Source organism: Homo sapiens, chromosome 2, assembly GCF_000001405.40.
Source record: "Homo sapiens chromosome 2, GRCh38.p14 Primary Assembly".
In the NCBI taxonomy this organism is placed as follows: domain Eukaryota; kingdom Metazoa; phylum Chordata; class Mammalia; order Primates; family Hominidae; genus Homo; species Homo sapiens.
In genome coordinates, this window is record NC_000002.12 from 47,834,222 (window position 1) to 47,853,933 (window position 19,712).

The window sequence follows — 19,712 nt, forward strand, 5'->3', positions numbered from 1 at the left end:
TGCCTATAATCCCAGCTACTTGAGAGGTTGAGGCATGAGAATTGCTTGAACCCAGGAGGCAGAGGTTACAGTGAACTGAAATTGTGCCACTGCACTCTAGCCTGAGTGACATAGCTAGACTCTGCATCAAAAAAACAAAAAAGGTTGGGGGGGGCGGGGAGAAAGAATTTATATACAGCTATAATTTCTGAACTCTTATGTTTTCACTTCCTTCACTTAAAATATGTGTGATATCTTCATTCCTACTTTACCAGCAGGATATTATAAAACTGGATTTTAAGTCACTAGCATTTTTAAAATCCTATCACATAAATGAGTAAAATATTAAAATTTTAATGACAATGCATTTCAAAATACCTGCACCAATCATGGTGATTGGAGATTCAATATATATCCATTCATCAGTATATATTCCAGAATGAACAAAGATAAGTCCATCAAAATGAGCCTCTTGTACCCCACCAAGGGCATCTTCAATAGTATCATAATACTAGAAAAAAATAAATGTGTCAGTACAGAACTGAAAGATTACCATTTTAAGTCATAAAAATAAAAATCAAACATACCAACATATTTTCTCTTCCTTTATATCTTGCAGGGTTACTGTAGAAATGTTCAGCAAATCCTGGCTTTACATGTGCACCTTTATACTAAAATGTCAAAAACAAAACAAAACCATTGACTACTAACATAAACCTTATATTTAAATTAATGTACAATTGCATGAACAACTTTTATTACAAATCAAAAATAATTCTCAACTATTCCAAATAATTTTCTGTCAGAGTACAATGTAAAATCTAAAACAAGTTATGATCCGGTAATATCCAGAAACAAAGAACAGGGTTTCTCAATCTCAGCATTACTGATATTTTAAGTCAGTTAATTCTTTGTTATGGGGGCTGTCCTGTGCACTGTAGGATGTTTAGAGGTATCCCTGGCCTCACCCAGCCAAATAGCAGCAGCACACTCTCCTCCCATTGTGACAATCAAAAAATGTCTCCCGACATCGCCAAATGTCCCACAGAAAGCAAAATCATCTCCAGCTGAGACTCACTCACGAAGGGCCGTATAACAATTAAGCTAAATGTGGAACTTTAAAACAAATGCTGAACACTAATAATTTAAATACAAGTTCAAACAGACCCATTGAAATCACAACTGCTCTTAGGCTACTAATGCTTACTGTACTAACTTATTAATGGGGGGATATGTCAGTAGTGAAAAGAATTGCTGAATATTCTGTTGGTTGATAAATGTTCATTAAAACCTACTCAACTTTTTTTTTTTCCCTGAGACAAGAGTCTCACTCTGTCGCCCAGGCTGGAGTGCAGCAGTGCAATGTCAGCTCTCTGCAACTCTGCCTCCTGGGTTCAAGTGATTCTCCTGCCTTAGCCTCCGAAGTAGCTGGGACTACAGGTGTGCGCCACCATGTCCGGCTAATTTTTGTATTTTTAGAAGAGATGGAGTTTCGCCATGTTGGCCAAGCTGGTCTCGAACTCCTGACCTCAGGTAATCCTCCTACCTCGGCCTCCCAAGGTGCTGGGATTACAGGTGTGAGCCACCACGCCCAGCCTAAACTTATTTCTTAAAAGAAAGTTATTTACAAATGTATAATATAAACCAATATATTCTATTTATATTTCATACCAACTGCTGGAAACTCTCTTTCCAGGGATTTGGATGTTCATACTCTTCTGGATTAATCTGGTAGAATTTTCCAGGTTCAGGATGCATCATAGGGCGAGTATATTCAAATACTTCCATATATAATCGTTTCCTGAACAGAGAAAGGAATTAAAATTTTCTTGATAAAATGTCCTTTAGATTAATACAGTTTTGAACAACTATAACAATTATTTGAGGCCTCAAAAACTTGAGTAAGAAAGTAAGAATAGACAAAAATGAATATTAAATCACAGGATTTTTTTTTTGAGACACAGTCTCACTGTCATCCAGGCTAGAATGCAAGTGGCATGATCTTGGCTCACTGCAACCTCCCTCTCCCAGGTTCAAGCCTCAGCCTCCTGAGTAGCTGAGATTATGGGCATGTGTCACCACGCACAGCTAAAAACAGGATTTAAAACGTGAAAACGTATTTTTCACATTTAAAATTTTCAGTGTAGTTGCATATGGAAATTATGTTTTTTTCCTTTTTTTTCTTTGAGACATAGTCTATTTCTATCACCCAGGCTGGAGTGCAGTGCCACGATCTCAGTTCACTGCAACCTCTGCCTCCTGGGCTCAAATGATCCTCCCACCTCAGCCTCCCAAGTAGCTGGAACTACAGGCACATGTTACCCAGGCTGGTCTCGAACTCTGGAGCTCAAGTGATTTACCCACCTCAGCCTCCCTAAGTGCTGGGATTACAGGCGTGAGCCACCATGCCTGGCCGAAAATTAGTTTTCCTGCAAAAATTTTCACAATGTAACTGCGTATGAAAATTTGTCCACACAGAACAACAAAAAGTTTCAATTTCCTTACAAACTGTTTACTCAGGAAGGGGAAAAAAAGTTATCCTTACTGTAAAAACATCATGATTATCACTTAAAAAGATAATTTTCTTTCTTTTTCTTTTTGAGACAGAGTCTCACTCCCGTTGCCCACACTGGAGTGCAGAGGCGTGATCATGGCTCATTGCAGCCTTAACCTCCCAGGTTCAAGTGATCCTCTTGTCTTATTTTTTGATTTTTTTTTGTAGAAATGAGGTCCCAGTATGTTGCCCAGGCTGGTCTCAAACTCCTGGGCTCAAGTAATCTGCCCACTTCAGCCTCCCAAAGTGCTGGGATTATAGGCGTGAGCCACTTCGCCTAGCCTAAAAAGATAATTTTCAGTAAAAATACTTTGAACTTAATTTGTCCTATATCTTCAGTCCATTTATATCCTATCAAGCACAATGAAATCTTCAAACTGGAGTAATGGCTAACTATTATCATTTCTGGTACAGTGAGCAATGCTGTTTTGTTCTGCTGCTCTTCATTCTCATTTCTCCTTTGTAATTTTTCTCTTAAATGTAAGGTGTGGGCCGGGCACAGTGGCCCATGCCTGTAATCCCAGCACTTTGGGAGGCCCAGGCAGGAGGATCACCTGAGGTCAGGAGTTCAAGACCAGCCTAGCCAACATGGTGAAACCCTGTCTCTACTAAAAATACAAAAAATAGCTGGGCATGGTGGGAGGTGCCTGTAATCCCAGCTACTCAGGAGGCTGAGGCAGGAGAATTGCTTGAACCCGGGAGGCAGAGGTTGCAGTGAGTCAAGATTGTGCCACTGCACTCTAGCCTGGGCAACAAGAACGAAACTCCGTCAAAAACAACAACAAAAACATATATATATATGGTGCACCTTTTGTGCATCATAAAAGTAATACATATAACCGTTGTAAAACAAAGAAGTGTAAAGAACTATAGTTTCAATATATTAACTATTAACAGTCTGCCATATTTGCTTCCACTCATTTTATCTACAGATCATTTATTATAGTTGTGATTATATAGCATATACAATTTTGTACTCTGTTCTTTTCTTTAAAAAACAGGGTCTCCGTCTGCCGCCCAGGCTGCAGTGCAGTGGCACGATCACGGCTTTCTGCAGCCTTGACTTCCTGGGCTCAAATGATCCTCCTGCCTCAGCCTCCGGAGTAGCTGGGACCACAGGCAGGAGCCACCACACCTGGCCTCTTTTCACTTTTTATAACAGCATTTTTTTCATCTTATTAAAAACCTGGGCTGGGTGCAATGGCTCATGCCTATAATCCCAGCACTTTGGGCGGCCGAGGTAGAAGGATCACTTGACCCCAGGAGTTCAAGATCAGACTGAGTAACAGAGTGAGACCCTTTGTCTCAAAAAAAAAAAAAAAAAAAAAATTAGCTGGGCATGGTGACACATGCCTGTGGTGCCAGCTACTCAGGAGGCTGAGGTGGGAGAATGGCTTGAGCCCAGAGGGTTGAGGCTGCAGTGAGCTAGGAGCGTGACACTGCACTCCAGCCTGGGTGACAGAGCAAGACCCTGTCTCTCAAAAAACAAATGAAAATCTCTTTGTAAAAATTACTATTAGTGGTTATATCACAACTCTCCAAGTACACATTACACAGTTTATGTAGTTCATTCCCTTAATTCTGGATATTTAGATTATTTATAATTTTTCTCATTATTAACTAGGCTGTTACGAAAAATCTGTACATAAAGCAAAAAAAACTTTTCAGAAGTAGAATTACTGGGTCAAAGGGCATGACCCAGTAATTACTGGGTCAAAGGGCATGAATTATTTAAAGATTCATGAATACAACTGTTTTCCAAAAGTGATATATAAAACCTACATTCTAATCTATCAGATTTAAAATTCATTAGCTATTTTAAATTACACTGTTATGTTTCTAAAAAGCTACTAAAAGAAAAACATTTCCCATAATCAATCAGTTGCTATTAACTGATAAACAGCAGATAAAAGACTTCATTTACTGATTTATAAATACCACCTGGACTGACAGCCCCCATTTGTAACTTGGAATTGATAAGCATTTTAATTTTGTTCCAACTAATTGTAACTACCAACTCACCGCACCGACTTTCCTACCATGTTTAGCATTTTGGGCAACAAATAACATATCTCAAGTTAATAAGGAATAGGTTTTTACTTACCACAAAATTGGATCATTAGCAAGTTCACTGAAGCGTTTACATACACAAGCTGCTCTACAAAGATCCTGTTCCAGCAAGTAAGAGAAGATTTTTAGAACCACTTCATCTGGCAGTTTCTCCTGAAGATACTGTTCAGCAGGTGCTGCTATAAAGAGATTAACATATAAACTATCATTCGAGCAATAACTTTCTCATTATTTAAAGAACACAGTTTTCATTTTATCTAATGAATAGCTTTTTTTTTTTGGATAATGGTCATTTTATAAGCATGTGGGTTTCATGGGTAACACATATTTATCTCTATCCTGAACTAACAAAAGTACTCCTTCTTTTAGGTATTATGTGCCATCTCAGAAATGGTTAAAATAAATACATAAAAAGCATTTTTATACAACAATAAAAGTCAGAGGGAGAGGTCAGGGTTCTAAAGTTTATTCTGTAATAATCACTTTCTGAATCCCAAAGGTAATACTCGAATACACTTAATTTTCATTTTTTGGTATCAAGCAAAATTAAAAAAAATTATTTTACCCTATTTGTTACTTTCCCACAGGAAATACCTGATAGATCTTGTGATTTTCCAGACACTCTTGCACGTTTTGCACGATGACCAAAGTTTTCTGTAGTTGAAGTTGAGGCGCCCTTCAAAAACAAAACAGAAACTAGTAAAGCAAATATTCTTATCATCCATAATCATTACTTCTAAAAAAGGATGACATTCCCTTTTTTGTTTCTTGAAAATTCTTTCATTACAAAAAGAAAAGCAACTACAGTTAAAGTTACCTCCATACTGTTCTTTGTGGGACACGCTGTTCTTTTCGGCAAAAGAGTTTTTCTACGAAGTTGGTATGGACTATTTTGTGCACCAGGACCTGATTCTTCTGCAACCATATCTGCAGGCACATCATCATCTGTTATAAACAAAAGCAATAAGAAAAATTATACCCTTTTTAAAAAAAGTTCTATGGATACAGAAAACTTTCTTAAAACTTCAAATTCGGGAGGGAGCAGATGTAAGTTTTATATGAAATTCCAACCAACTGGATAGCTATATGAAAGAAATGTTAGATTTCTATAAAATGTGGAAGATTTTTTTTTTTTTTGAGACAGAGTCTCGCTCTGTCGCCCAGGCTGGAGTGCAGTGGCGCAATCTCGGCTCACTGCAAGCTCCGCCTCCTGGGTTCACGCCTTTCTCCTGCCTCAGCCTCCCGAGTAGCTGGGACTACAGGCGCCCGCCACCACGCCCAGCTAATTTTTTGTATTTTTAGTAAAGATGGGGTTTCATCGTGGTAGCCAGGATGGTCTTGATCTCCTGACCTCGTGATCCACTCACCTCGGCCTCCCAAAGTGCTGGGATTACAGGCGTGAGCCACCACGCCCAGCCGTGGAAGACTTTTTTTTAAAAAAAGGTGAGGAGGATATCCACTTGCTGAGAGGAGTGGGAAGGGAACTGGTACTACATGGTTAGAGACCATATATGGTGAAGGCAGCTTGGCAAGGAGTGTGTCTATGAAGAGGAACGGCTCAATATAGTGCATGAGATACCAGGTAGGTTAAAAAGGGTGTCAGAGGGTAGTCTGGTGTATGAACATCTTTTTTTTTTTTTTTTGGAGATAGGGTCTCATTCTGTCACCCAGGCTGGAGTGCAGTGGCCCGATCACAGCTCACTGCAGCCTCAACCTCTTGGCCTCAAGCAATCCTCCTGCCTCAGTATCCCAAGCAGCTGGGGCTACAGGCATGCACCACCACCCAGCTAACTAAAAAACAATTTTTTTTGGTGAGATGGGGTCTCACTATATTGCCCAGGCTGGTCTCAGACTCCTGGGTTCTAGCAATCCTCCCACCTTGGCCTCCAAAGTGCTTTCAACAGAGCACGGCTGCAGTGAGCTATGATCACACATCTGCACTCCAGCCTGGGTGACAGAGCAAGACCCTGTCTCAAAATCAGTCAGTCAATCCATCCATCTATGAGTTCATAATAATACTTTAAAAATTAAAAAAAAAAAAAGATTATTTGAAAGATGCTAGTGGAAACCAACCCATCATGTTGAAAACTTGTAAATAACACAGTGGCTCAAGCCTGTAATCCCAGCACTTTGGGAGGCCAAGGTGGGCGGATCACGAGGTCAGGAGATCGAGACCATCCTGGAAAACACAGTGAAACCCCATCTCTACTAAAACTACAAAAAATTAGCCTGGTGTGGTAGCGGGCGCCCGTAGTCCCAGCTACTCAGGAGGCTGAGGCAGGAGAATGGTGTGAACCCGGGAGGCAGAGCTTGCAGTGAGCCGAGATCATGCCACTGCACTCCAGCCTGGGCAACAGAGCAAGACTCCGTCTCAAAAAAAAACCAAAAACCAAAAAACAAAACTGGTAAATAACACCAAATAAGCAAACACTTATTCTTCCTTTCTTACATAAACTGAATCACCAGGTAGCAAAGTATTAGATGAGGGGAAGCTTCTCTATAGAAACATTCCAGTAATGAAGGGATAATAAAATTAGAGAATCACCATTCTGCTATCTCTAATGAGTTAACAGATTTAACCAATGAGTACCAATAGTTTGTAAAATCACAAAAACAACCAGTAGTGTATATATCTCCTATACCACTACCTATAAAGTCTGGCCAAAAACATCAAACCTGAATCCGATCAAACCTGTAAGAAACTCTACAGGTCCAACTATCAGTTTCTTAACAAATAAACTGGACAAAAACAGTGGGAGAAAAATAAGGAAAACTTTATAAAACACATTAAGAATGTACCCTTTGGTATTCAAATTATTATTATTATTATTATTTGAGATGGAGTCTCGCTGTGTCGCCAGGCTGGAGTGCAGTGGCGTGATCTCAGCTCACTGCAACCTCCACCTCCTGGGTTCACGCCATTCCCCTGTCTCAGCCTCCTGAGTAGCTGGGACTACAGGCACACACCACCATGCCTGGCTAACTTTTTGTATTTTGGTAGAGACGGGGTTTCACCATGTTGGCCAGGATGGTCTCTAACTCCTGACCTCGTGATCCCCCCACCTCGGCCTCCCAAAGGGCTGGGATTACAGGCGTGAGCCACTGTGCCCGGCCAAATTATTTTTTAAAAAGCTAGAAAATGATTATAATACAAATGCTTTTAGTGGGGAAGGAGGAGAATATCAGTTTTATTTTTATTTTTTTTTTTTGAGACAGAGTCTCGCCCTGTTGCCCAGGCTGGAGTGCAGTTGCGCGATCTCGGCTCACTGCAACCTCCGTCTCCTGGGTTCAAGCCATTCTCCGGCCTCAGCCTCCCGAGTAGCTGGGACTACAGGTGCACGCCACTATGGCCAGCTAATTTTTGTATTTTTGATAGAGACGGGGTTTCACAATGTTGGCCAGGATGGTCTTCATCTCTTGACCTCGTGATCTGCCCGCCTCGGCCTCCCAAAGTGCTGGGATTACAGGCGTGAGCCACCGGCGCCCGGCAGGAGGAGAATATAATTAGAATGGGAAACATAAAAGGCTTAGTAGTAGCTGGCAAAGTTCTAGTTCTTGCCTTGTTGGTATTACAAAGATAATACCTTAATAATAACTCAACAAGCTGTGTATTTGTGTTTTATGTAGGTTTCTCTACCTAGCTATATTTCATAATAACAAAGGTATAAAAAGGGGGGAGAGTTTGTAAAAGTGTAATATTTAAAAGTAGAGATTTCCAGTCAGCTAACCTTGGGTGTAAATTAACATTTTTAAGCCTACATTTTCTCATCTATTAAAGATAAGAGTATGTTATAATTGAAAGCTGCTAAAAACTTAAATATATGTAAAACACACAGTATGCCTGGGCTCATATGCAGAGTTCAAGAAGTATTTCAATTACTATTATTTCATTTAAATATTATTCGATTAACATCACTTTCAAATGAAACTTGGAAAAACAAGTAAATTTTTCTTTAAAAAAAAAAAAAAAAAAAGATACAGGGTCTCACTTTGTCACCCAGGCTGGAATACAGTGGCACAATCATGGCTTACTGCAGCCTGTATCTCCTGGGCTCAAGCAGCCCTCCCACCTTGGCCTCTCGAACAGCTGGAACTGCAGATGTGAACCACCACACCTGGCTAATTAAAAACAACTTTTTTTTGTAGACACAAGGTCTCACCATGTTGTGCAGGCTAGTCTCAAAACTGCTGAGCTCAAGTGATCCTCCTGCCATGGCCTCCCAAAGTGATGAGATTATTATAGCTGTGAGTCAATGTGCCCAGCTTGTAAATTTTCCATGTACTGCAGGAATCACAAAAAGCAGCCAGTATGATACGCCTAGGCATTTGTGGAACTCTCTCCCTTTGAGGTCTAATATGTGTAATTCTATAAATGTTTGTATATTAATAATATGACCAGTAAACGTCCTATGTGTGCTTGAAAGGAACATCAACACTAATTTTTAGAGTAGGGTTTAAACATGTCTAAAAAGATCTAGCTTGTTAATTGTGTTGTTCAAATAGTCTCTATGCTTACATTTTTTCACTTTTGTTGAGGGTGGTGGTGGTTTATTCATTGGCTTCTGAAGGAAATGTGCTGAAATCTCCCACCATATTTGTAGTTAATCTTTTTTTTTTTTTTGCCTGCAAATTTTTGCTTTATGTGCTTTGAGACAATATTATTTGGACACACAGATTCAAGATAACTATTTCTTCCTGGTGAATTATTCCATTCTTCATTATGTAATTAATGGCTTTCTTCATCATCTTCATTATGTAATGGCTTTCTTCATCACTAACAATGCTTTCTGCCTTACAAATCTATTTTTGGTCTATCAGCTTTCTGTTTTGGTTTGTGTCAGTCTAGTATTTTTTAAATCCTTTATTTTCAATTTCTTACTTTTATGGATTACATTTTAGATTTGCTGCTGCTTCTTCTTCTTCTTCTTCTTTTTTGAGATGAGTCTTGCTCTGTTGCCCAGGTTGGAGTGCAATGGCGTGATCTCGGCTCACTGCAACCTCTGCCTCCTGGGTTCAAGCTATTCTCCCACCTCAGCCTTCCGAGTAGCTGGGATTACAGGCACGCGCCACTACGCCCGGCTAATTTTTGTATTTTTAATAGAGACGGGGTTTCACTATGTTGGCCAGGATGGTCTCGAACTCCTGACCTCAAGGTATCTGCCTGCCTCAGCCTCCCAAAGTGCTGGGATTACAGGCATGAGCCACTGTGCCTGGCCTAGATTTGCTTATTCTTAACCATTTATTGCTAGACTTTTGCTTTTCAGCCAAGGCAAGAGTATCTGTCTAATCTGTAATTTAACCCATCTACTGCCAATTTCCATGATTATATTTTTAATTTCTAAAAGTTAATTTTTTCCAAGTTTTACTGTTTCTTTTTCACACTGATCTATTACCTCATTGCTTCATTTCCTTCTTTTATCCCTTCAATCATTTCACTCACATTTTATATTCTCTCTTAGATTGTTCTGTCATTGACTTTGTTCTTGAGTGAGCATTTGACTAGTGGGCACTTTTTCTAATCTCTATGCGTAATTAGGGAAGTTATTTCAGGCTCTAGGCCACATGCCTGGGTCTTTGTTTCAGATATATTTTGAAAAGGCCCAAGGCCATATATCCTATCCCCATATGTGCAATAAAATTCAACCCCAGACCCCTTAGAACATATGCAGGACCAAAAGCCCCCTGTGCTATATACAGCAACACTAGCTCCCGCTTACTGTTCTGATTTTATTTCTCTGATTTCTGATACCTATGAATTTTCCTCCTCTTCTTTCCTTCCTTAAAAGTTTAGTTATATGTTTATAGTTTTGTTCTTAATGCGTATTTCTTTTGTTCGTTTTGTTTTTGAGACAGGGTCTCACTCTGTCACCCGGCTGGAGTGCAGTGGTGGGATCTCGACTCACTGCAACCTCCGTTTCCCTGGCTCAAGCAATTCTCCCACCTCAGTTTACAGGTGTGCACGCCACCATGCCTGGCTAATTTTTGTATTTCTGTAGAGACATGGTTTTGCCATGTTGCCAAGGATGGGTCTCAAACTCCTGAGCTCAAGTGATCCGCCTAACTTGGCCTCCCAAAGTGCTGGGATTACAGGCATGAGCCACTGTGCCCAGCCCTTATTACATATTTCATTTTGATATGTTTGTAGTATGCATGCATGTGGGTTAATGTCTCTATCAGCTTGTTTGCCATTTCCTTCAGTAGTCAGTCCAATTCTACAACACTCAAAAGTACATTCTCAAACTTTTCATCCTATACAACTCCCTCCTCCTTTCCTCACCTTCACCTTCTTAAAATCTGTGGACCTTATTACTACAGACACCCACCCACCCCACCCTGGAATCCTTTGCTTCTCACCAAAGACACAGCAAATAGTAAAGACTGAAAAGTAAGGAATTCAGAGGTCCTAACAGGAAAGAGAAGGTGCTAATTAATTCATTTGCATCCTAAAATGTACAGCAAATAAATTCAAGAAGCTACATGATTTAAGTCATGAATACCACAGAAATCTCAACTTCCCACTTGTAAACACTGTCCTGAAGTGCTCATGAGTTATAAAATCACTGTTTTGAACTCTGCGCTGAAGAATATGTGCTAATTTCTACATAGTTCTCATATTAAATTACTACTGACTGTTCTGAGAATCAAGTACAGTGCCAGAAGTTACTTAAAAAGGGATCATTCTGGGAAGATAAGTTGGCTACTACTGTGATAAGCAGCAAAACAGAAAGCTTAAAAGAAATCTCTAGTCATTTGGGTTCGCTTCATCTTTTGAACTCCTGTAGTACTGAATATATACCGTATATACCTTACTATACCTTAGCTGCCTTATGTTATACTTACTTTTTTTATTATATGCCATATTTCCCTAACAAAATTATAAGCTCTGAGGGCGAGGCAGGGTAACAAGGGTGCCCTCTTTTATATTCTTCAGTGTTTAGCTTGGTGCCCAATCAGTACTCAATAAATACTGATTCCCATCAATGGAGAACCCTTTAATTTTACTCAATTCAGGGAGTTCTTCGTAGAAGCCATCACTAGTGGTGGCTTATCTCCTACTTTACAGGAAAAAAAAAAACCAAACAAGAACTGCCTTAACTTCCTTCCAACATCCAAATCCACAAATGCATTTACATGTAGATCCATTATTTTTTGTCCCCTCCTGAAATTATGGAGAAGTATTCCCCCAAAACAGACTTAGCATACATGAAACAAAAAATATTTGTTACATTAAATAAAAATGAATAAAGCCAACGATCCATGATAGATGCGGCAAACTGGCTCCAACCCAAGAAACACGAAATCATGGATTAGTTATGGTTTTGTGCCAACAAGTCTAAAAGCAAGACCTTAAAATAATTTTGGCCAGGCGTGGTGGCTCATGCCTGTAAATCCCAGCACTTTAGGAGGCCCAGGCGGGCAGATCATCTGAGGTTGGGAGTTCTAGACCAGCCTGGCCAACATGGAGAAACTCCGTCTCTACTAAAAATACAAAATTAGCCAGGTTTGGTGGCGCATGCCTGTAATCCCAGCTACTCAGGAGGATGAGGCAGGAGAATTGCTTGAACCTGGAAGAAGGCGGCTGCGATGAGCGGAGATCATGCCATTGCACTCCAGCCTGGGCAACAAAAACGAAACTGTTTCAAAAAAAAATTTTTTTTTAATTTTATGGTTTTCATTTTTATATCTAATAGAATATTATGCCAATGATTGTCAAGTTGTAATCAAAGACTTAAAAATAACCCTCTACCAAAAATGTTCAATTTTAACTATAATTCACAGAAAAATTTAGTTAGAAAAAATGTTCTAGACCAGAAATGTCCACCAGAAATAGAACGCAATCCACATATGTAATTTAGCTGCATTAAAAAATAAAACAGTGAAATTTTAATATACTTAACATATTAAATCTGAAATATATCATTTCAATATGTAAATATAAAATTATTACTGAGATAATTTACATTTTTTTCATACTAAATCTTTGAAAATAGTACGTATGTGTAACACAGCATGCCTCTATTCAGACTAGGCATATTTCAAGTGCTCAAAAGCCACATGCAGCTAGTGGCTACCCTTAATTGGACAATGCAGACACATACAGTCACTTATCACTTAAAGACAAGAATACGTTCTGAGAAGGCTGGTCGTGGTGGCTCACATCTGTAATCCCTGCACTTTAGGAGGCCAAGGAGGCACTTCATCTGAGGCCAGGAGTTCAAGACCAGCCTGGCCAACATGGTGAAACCCTATCTCTACTAAAAATAAAAGAAATCAGCCAGGTGTGGTGGTGGACACCTGTAATCCCAGCTACTCAGGAGGCTGAGCCAGGAGAATTGCTTGAACCTGAAAGGTGTAGACTGCAGTGAGCCGACATTGTGCAACTGCACTCCAGCCTGAGTGACAGAGTGAGACTCTGTCTCAAACAAACAAACAAAAAGAAATTAAGCACTTAGGCTATAATGGTATAGCCTACTGTTCCTAGGCTGTAAGCCTGTGCAGCATGTTACTGTACTGTACTGAACACTGTAGACAATTGTAACACAATGGTAAATAACTGCCTATCTAAAGAAAGTAAAAAGGTACAGTAAAAATATAGTATCATGGCTGGGTGTGGTGGCTCACGCCTGTAATCCCAGCACTTTGGGAGGCCAAGACGGGAGGATCATTTGAGGTCTGGAGTTTGGGACCAGCCTGGTCAACATGGTGAAACTCTGTCTCTACCAAAAATACAAAAATTAGCAAGGCATGGTGGCATACGCCTGTAGTCCCAGCTACTCAGGAGGCTAAGGCAGGAGAACCGCTTGAACCCAGGAGGTTGCAGTAAGCCAAGATCACACCCACTGCACTCCAGCCTGGGTGACAGAGCGAGACTCTGTCTCAAACGAACAAATAAACAAAATATGGTATCATAATTTTTTGGGACCACCATCATATACAGTCTGTTGTTGATGAAAACATTGTTATGTGGTGCGTGACTGTGTTAGACAGACTGTGTGTGTATATAAAAACACACACATATGGCCAGGCACAGTGCTCATGCCTGTAATCCCAGCACTTTGGGAGGCTGAGGCGGGTGGATCATGAGGTCAGGAGATTGAGACCATCCTGGCTAACACGGTGAAACCCCATCTCTACTAAAAATACAAAAAATTAGCCGGGCGTGGTGACGGGTGCTTGTAGTCCCAGCTACTCGGGAGGCTGAGGCAGGAGAATGCTGTGAACCCGGGAGGTGGAGCTTGCAGTGAGCTGAGATCGCACCACTGCACTCCAGCCTGGGCGACAGAGCGAGACCCCATCTCAAAAAAACAAACAAACAAACAAAAAAACAACCAAACACACACACACATATATATCTTTCACTAAACCTTTATCAGTTCTCTTAAAGCAGAGATCCCCAACCCCGGGGCCAGTTAGGAACTGGGCCACCCAGGAGGTGAGTGGTAGGCGACCAAGCAATACTGCCTGAGCTCCGCCTCCTGTCAGATCAGCCACAGCATTAGATTCTCATAGGAGTGTGAACCCTATTGTGAACTGCACATGCGAGGGATCTAGGTTGTGCACTTCTTATGAGAATCTAATTATGTGGTGCATGTCTGATGATCTGAGGTGAACAGTTTCATCCTGAAACCACCCACCCCTCTGAGTCCGTGGAAAAACTGTCTTCCATAAAACCAGTCATTGGTGCCAAAAAAGGTTGGGGACCACTGTCTTAAAGGATAAAAAGTTAATACGCAATTTAAAAGTATGCTATTTGCACACACATATATAATATCAAAATTTATTTTATAATTTCTAGATTTTACTACAAATCCTATGCTATAAATACACTACAATCTTCACTATTAATAGGAACCACAGAAATAAGTAAAGTCTTCTGGAAAATAAACATGTTTCTTTAATTAAAAAATAATCTCTGACATCTTTGATAATAAATGTAGCACTGAAAATTTATTTTAGGATTCAAATAAGATTCCTAACTGTCTTGACTCTATTTATTCTGAGCCTAGCAGAATACCTTTTTATATACCCTTTACCTTGAAAGTTTGCAAAAAATTATACTATTGATTGGCTGGGGTTTAAAGTCTACACATTTTAGGTTATAAAGTTAAGAGTAGTTTATGGAATTTAATTGACAGAAGTTTTTTTCCCCACAAATACACAAATTCCAATTTACTTACCCATAGTCACAGATCAGATTGGAAACTTAGGCAAATCTGTGCGACTAACAACTTTGTGTTTAGAAACAGCTCCCAGTCTCATGGCGTAAAGGAACCACACTTGACAACTGTTTCTAACACAGTTGGAAACTACCACAGCTTTTCTCTAACTGCTAAAAAAATTCACAAATGGAAATCAAGATAAAATTTAAATACTTATAAAGTTACATGGTTTACTTAAAATTTAAATATTTTATAATAGAGATCCCAAAAGTAAAGTTATAATTAAAAAAACTTTTTAAAAGCTTGACTTGCTGTAAGCAAATGTTTCTGATTTTATAGTTACATTTTAAAATTATTTATTTAGGATACTGTTACATAATACTTCCATTAATGTATTCAGTTATTAACACACATACGTTCTTACACTGAATTTTTGCCACCACAGGATCATTATACTTAAAATGACTTAAAAAATGTGCATTTTCGTTACTTAGTAACAATCTTCAAAAGCCAAATCTTGCCATGGACTGTGCTAGGTATTGGTGACACAGGTCAATCAAACAGAATATTGTATTTGCTCTTCAAGAGCCTAAGAGACAGACAACTAAACAGGCAGTAATAATGCAGTGTGTCACATGCTGATAAGGTTAAGCAGAAAGTATTGAGGGAATATTTAAGAACATCTAATCCAATCTTAGATGATGTGGGTATTGGTGTAAGATTTTCTGAAGAAAGTCCAAGCTAAGAAATGGATGACAACTGAGAGTCAGTTATGCAGAAGGAATAGTGTGTGTGAAGACCTGAAGGTGCTCATCTCCAGCACAGGTATCAAGGAACTGCCAGCTGCTCCATATGTATGGCTATACTATGTAGCAGAGGCCAAATTATAAAGGCTATTACAAACACTTAAAATAATTTAGACCTTATCTTAAAAACAAAATATGGTCACTGAAGGGTATTAAAAAGAACAGTAATGTGTTCTGATTTTGGTTTTAGGAAGATCACCCAAACAATGCAAAAACAACTGGAAATGAATAGCACTGGTGGCAGGAGACGAGTAAGGGAGCTACAGCACAATACAACTCAGAGAGGAAGATGGCTACAGTAATAAATATGGAAGAAATGGATATATGAGATACAAGATAAAGCTCATAAAACTTGATGAGTGGGTATGGTGGGCTGGGGGTGGAGAAGAGGTTGGAACCAAATTAATACTGATTTGGGCAATCCAATGGATGGTGGTGCCATGTACTAAGGCAGTGACTTTGGAGATTGAAGGTGGGGAAAAAAGATGAGTTAAGGGTTTCAATTTTGAGTTTTGAGGTACCTGTGAGACATTCAAGTGGAAATGCCCAACATAAAACTAAATATGTAGATCTCAAGCATTAGTGAGTCATTTGGGTTGGACATAAATAAGAGAATTTTGTCACTCAGAAAATACACTACACTAGGAATGGGGAGTCAGAAAGCATAGACTAGCTATCATAGCTATCATAATGTACATATGGTACAATACTGTTTCATGGTAGACGTGCCATTCAATTTTTGAGAGGCAGCCATATGATGTAAAGTGGACTATTAACTGTTGATGTCAAAATTAACAATACTCTATATAGAAAATGTCCACAGATTCATGAATTTGAAATGAATTTAAAAAATAAGTAAAAAATGTCTGTGGGCCCAGAATTGACCAAAGTTCATAACTTTAGTTTGATTAAAAGAAAATCTCCAACTGACAACTACTAATTCAAGGATTAAAGTCTCTTGAGAATAGCTTAAATTTTAATTCTTTCCTGTTATGTATCACGTTCTGTTCTCCCAAGACATTTTCTCTCATTGCTTTTGGGAAAAGGAGTGTAAAATAGTCTCTCCCCAGAATGGAACATTTAAAAATGTTTTCTTCCATTCTCATATTTGTTCCCCTAGTTTTTCACGTTCAATATTTCCTAAGAGTCAAAATTCATAAAATACATACAATAATTTTCTATTTTAACAAGCAAGAAAAAATTTTTTAAAGTTAGTAACTTCCAAAGATTTAAAATACTTAAGTTCAATCCAAGTTCAATTGGACAATGTAATTCAAAAGTAGTGTTTATGTCCAAGGAGAAACTGATATGGCCAGAGTTATCAAATATATCATTAATTCAAGAACAGAATGACCATAGCCCCAAATTAAGTCAAACCTAGCTTTAGCCTAACCTTGGACTCACAGACGTTATTAACTAAATGCTATTAATTTTTTCTTTTCTTTTCTTTTTTTGAGACAGAGTCTCATTCTGTTGCACAGGCTGGAGTGCAGTGGTGTGATCTCGGCTTACCACAACCTCTGCCTGCCAGGTTCAAGCGATTCTCCTGCCTCAGCCTCCCAAGTAGCTGGGACTACTAATTTTGTATTTTTACCACGCGTGGCTAATTTTTGTATTTAGTAGAGATGGGGTTTCACTATGCTGGCCAGGCTGGTCTCGAATTCCTGACCTCATGCTCCACCCACCTCAGCTTCCCAAAGTGCTGGGATTACAGGTGTGAGCCACCGCGCCTGGCCTATTAATTTTCATCTGTTTGCTAGTCATTGTGAATATGAAGGTCCATCACTGAGGGAACTGTTCTAGTAGGGGAGTGAGATATGTAAACAAATAAAGCAATATAGTAAGTGCCATACCAAGGACACACACAGGTGTTATAAAAGTATAAAACAGGACACACAAATCGTCATACGCACACAGTTTAAAAGAAAACAATTTAGCCTGTCCCTAATGTATTTTCACATAATATTTAGAAATTTCTAGAAATGTCTTTAGTTTATGGGCAAGGAGTTTAAGAGCAAGAGTGAAGTATGAAAAGCAAAATGAAAATATGGCTATATTCTTATAAGCATTAAATCCTTAACCTTTCCTTTGTGAATTCACACAAGAAACAACTTTTTTTAATACAGAATGCTTTACAAATTTGTGCGTCTATCTTGGGCAGGGGCCATGCTAATAGTAGTCTCTGTATCAAGCAACCAATTTTTTTTTTTTTTTTTTTTGAGGCTGAGTCTTGCTCTGTTGCCCAGGTTGGAGTGCAATGGCACTATCTTGGCTCACTGCAACCTCCACACCTGCTTCAAGCAATCCTCCTGCCTCAGCCTCCCGAATAGCTGGGATTACAGGCACCTGCCACCACACCCGGCTAATTTTTGTATTTTTAGTAGAGACGGGGTTTCGCCATGTTGGCCAGGGTGGTCTCGAACTCCTGACCTAAGGTGATCCACCTGCCTCGGCCTCCCAAAGTGCTGGGATTACAGGTATGAGCCACTGCGTCTGGCCAGCAACCATTTTATTGAAAGAAGAAAAACGGACCTCACCAGAGAGAGAAAAGGATGGAGAGGGGGCTCAGCATCATCAGCTCTTTACCAGTCCCATACTTTGACTATAATTTGTGGTACTGCAACATGATTTCTAGTAATGTTTTTTACAAATCAAGTAATCACCCGACAAGAAAGGTATTAATTTGTTCTACTGACAGGCAGTTCAGGCCATTAAAGTTAAGTGAAATGCTTAAGGTTAGAAAGCCAATAAATGGTAGCAAAATAATTTTTAAGTCAATGGACTCTAGATATGATGTTTTTATTTTTACTTTTCACTACTAAGTAATTTGGGTGTCTTTTAAAACTTTATTGTATCAATACAAATGATGATGGATGATAATAATGATAGTAATTCAAATAAATAGTGCCACTACTGCTAACAGTGTACCTAACACTTACTGAAAACCTACATGTACAGGCACTACTGTTTCAAGTGTTTTATACGTGTATCAACTCATTGAATCCTTGCATCAACTTCATAAGGGACATATTATTATTCCTATGTTATTGATGAGGAAACCAGGCAAAGAGAGGTTAGGCAACTCACACTAGGTCACACAGTATTAAGCAGCAGAGGCAGAATTTTAAATCACATGGGTAAGCTCCAGAGCCCCCTACTCTTAATCTCTGTTATACAATTAATTTTGCTAAATAATATTGGATATATTTATTAGGAGTATATTAGCCTATAAAAGAATACCATGGAACAGGACATAAACCTTTTGGAAATGTTTAATTTGAAGAATTTTTTTTTTTTTTGAGATGGAGTCTTGCTCTGTCACCCAGGCTACAGTGCAGTGGCACGATCTTGGCTGACTGCAACCTCCGCCTCCTGAGTTCAAGCCATTCTCCTGCCTCAGCCTCCCTAGTAGCTGGGATTACAGGCACTCACCACCAAGCCCAGCTAATCTTTGTATTTTCAGTACAGACGGGGCTTCACCACGTTGGCCAGGCTGGTCTCGAACTTCTGACCTCGTGATCCACCTGCCTCGGCCTCCCACAGTGCTGAGATTACAGGCATGAGCCACCGTGCCTGGCCCAGGAATTAAAAAAATAATAATAATACTTTTACATGTCATATTTTATTCAAATATATAAAAATACCAAAATATTAAATCAGATCCTTTATTTTATTAATAGGTAGCTCCTCAGATGTTTTAGTATTGTAAATAGTAGTATGTGGAGACAGTATAGCACAATGACTAAGGATACAAGCTCAAAAAAAACTGGCTCTTGGTTACATTCCTGGCTTAGTAGCCACCCTGTTATCTTGCATAAGTACCTTAGCCTCTTTAACTTAAGCTCCTCAACTCATTTTCAGTTCATCTATAAAATGGAGATAATCATGGTGCTTACCTTATAAAATTACTGTGAAGATTAAGTAAGACTGATAATACTTAACAGTACCTGGCAGAGATGACCTCTCAACATTAGCTATCATCATAATTGAGATGGGATACTGAAAGTTACCAAGGTCCACTCAAAATGTATTTCAAATTCCACCTGGAGGCTTAAAAAAAGTTATCCAATTTCATCTTCTAAAAACTCTTATGAGGTAGAAATAATGATTTCTATTACAAAATACTACTCATGACAGGTATTT

The 19,712-nt window shown here is 39.2% G+C and overlaps 1 protein-coding gene across 11 annotated transcripts in view; it reads right to left on the reverse strand.

Moving 5' to 3' along the window:
* The window catches only part of FBXO11 (F-box protein 11), a 99,579-nt gene that overhangs the window by 27,302 nt on the left and 52,565 nt on the right, over positions 1 to 19,712 (reverse strand). For 5 of the 11 annotated variants that reach the window (NM_001190274.2, XM_005264572.6, NM_001374325.1 and 2 more), the window contains exons 2-7: positions 5,421 to 5,548; positions 5,198 to 5,279; positions 4,638 to 4,782; positions 1,651 to 1,780; positions 567 to 650; positions 358 to 490 (exon numbers count right to left, since the gene is read on the reverse strand). In NM_001190274.2, coding sequence (NP_001177203.1) covers positions 358 to 490; positions 567 to 650; positions 1,651 to 1,780; positions 4,638 to 4,782; positions 5,198 to 5,279; positions 5,421 to 5,548 — 702 coding nt within the window. Of the gene's footprint in view, positions 1 to 357; positions 491 to 566; positions 651 to 1,650; positions 1,781 to 4,637; positions 4,783 to 5,197; positions 5,280 to 5,420; positions 5,549 to 19,001; positions 19,142 to 19,712 lie in introns of those variants that run through there. The other 6 variants (XM_017005015.2, XM_005264573.6, XM_047445922.1 and 3 more) reach the window with 4 other exon arrangements.